Consider the following 1,974-nt stretch of genomic DNA (forward strand, 5'->3'; position numbering starts at 1 on the left):
TGGTTGCACTAAAACCTTGGCTGGTAATCAAATAAACATTAGAAGAATACAGGGTTATAATGTATTGTTCAGGAGGAGGATAGCGATACTGATTAACCTTCGACATTGCTGTAAATAAATATGTTAAAACTTCTATGGTAACCACTAAAAGAAAAGATAGTATACAATTTCTGAATTCTTAGAAGAAAAAAGTAGAGTACATGTAAAAGCATAATTAATCTACAGGATGGCTAGAAAAGCTAGGAAAAGATATATAGAAAAGGTATGATAGAAATGAATTAAAATGTAGTTAGTATACCACATATAAGAATTGACCAACTCTCAACAATAAAGGACAGAATTGTTAGACTGAGTTTAAAACACAAAAACCCTTTCCTGGAGTCTTTTGGTAAGAGCAGAACATATAACCTTGGGCATTAAACTTTACCATATGAGTAGGGCATTTTGACCTTGGAATTTTTAGAGGCTGGTAATGTGCCAGCGTCTAACTTCTAATAGGACCAGGCCTTTAAGCCCTACGGTACATGGTATTTGATGTTGGCTGGTGAATTCAGCTTATGTCAGCTTTATCCACAGGCAAATTTATTTCTATAGACGCAACACCACTTACACTGGCCCATTGCTTCTTGGCCTTTTGGCTAAGATCAAGTGTACACTGGCCCAAACACAAAGGCAGAGGGGCCACACACCTCATAAAGGATAACGCCTTAGTGGCTTCAGTAAACTTCTGTGCAGTCCCTCTGGCTATCAAAGGTTTTGTAACTTCAGCGTGTGCAAGGTCTACCACAGTTGGACTCCATGTGCCTAGACCAGCAGCATCAGCCAGCAGGGCCTGGAAACCTGTTAGAAATGCAAATCCTTGAACACCGCGCTTGATCTACTGACTGAGGAGTCTCCCAAAGTAGGGCCAACCGTCTGGGTTTTAACAAACCCTGCTGGGGATTCCAATGCATTCTGAAGCCTGACAGCCACTGGTGTGCATCAAAAAGGAAAGTTTAGGAAAGCATAGATGGCTAGCACTATTGTGGGTCCAGCATGTAGCACACTACAGCTCATTCCACAGCAAAGCTTTTCCTAAGTATCTGAGGTGGTGGCAAATAGTTCGCAAGAAAGAAAAGGGCTTTTTTGTTGTTGCTGTTTTGAGACGGAGTTTCACGCTTCTTGCCCAGGCTGGAGTGCAACGGTGTGATCACGGCTCACTGCAACTTCTGCCTCCGAAGTTGAAGCGAATCTCCTGCCTCAGCCTCCCAAGTAGCTGGGATTTACAGGCACCCGCCACCATGCCCAGCTAATTTTTTGTATTTTTAGTAGAGACGGGGGTTCACCATGTTGGCCAGGCTGGTCTTGAACTCCTGACCTCAGATGATCCACCTGCTTTGGCCTCCTGAAGTGCTGGGATTACAGGCGTGAGCCACCGTGCCTGGCCAGAAAAAAGCATTTTTATCTAACTTTAGAGTCATTTGGGAATAAAACAATATTTACTGTTTAAACTGCGAGACAGCTGAGTTCCATGTGTGCCTGAGTCTTGTGTAATCTTTAGATTCAAATGAGTGGTATCTGCTCCCCATTTCCTCCTCTGCTCAGTCTCTGGTAACCACCATTCTACCTTTTGATTCTATGAATTTGACAATTTTAGATGCCTCATATAAGTGGAACCATGCAATATTTGTCATTCTGTGACTGGCTTATTTCAGTCAGCGTAATGTCCCTTAGGTTCATTCATGTTGTTGCATATTGCAGATTTTTTTTTTTTTTTTTTTGAGACAGTTTTGCTGTGTTGCCCAGGCTGGAGTTCAGTGGCGCCATCTCGGCTCACTGCAACCTCTGCCTCCCGGGTTCAAACCATTCTCCTGCCTCAGGGTCCTGAGTAGCTGGGACTATAGGTATGCAGTATGCACCACCATGCCTGGCTAATTTTTGTAGTTTTACTACAGATGGGGGGATGGGGTTTCACCAGGCATGGTGACTCATGCC

The sequence above is a fragment of the Homo sapiens genome, chromosome 22 (assembly GCF_000001405.40).
Source record: "Homo sapiens chromosome 22, GRCh38.p14 Primary Assembly".
Lineage (NCBI taxonomy): Eukaryota > Metazoa > Chordata > Mammalia > Primates > Hominidae > Homo > Homo sapiens.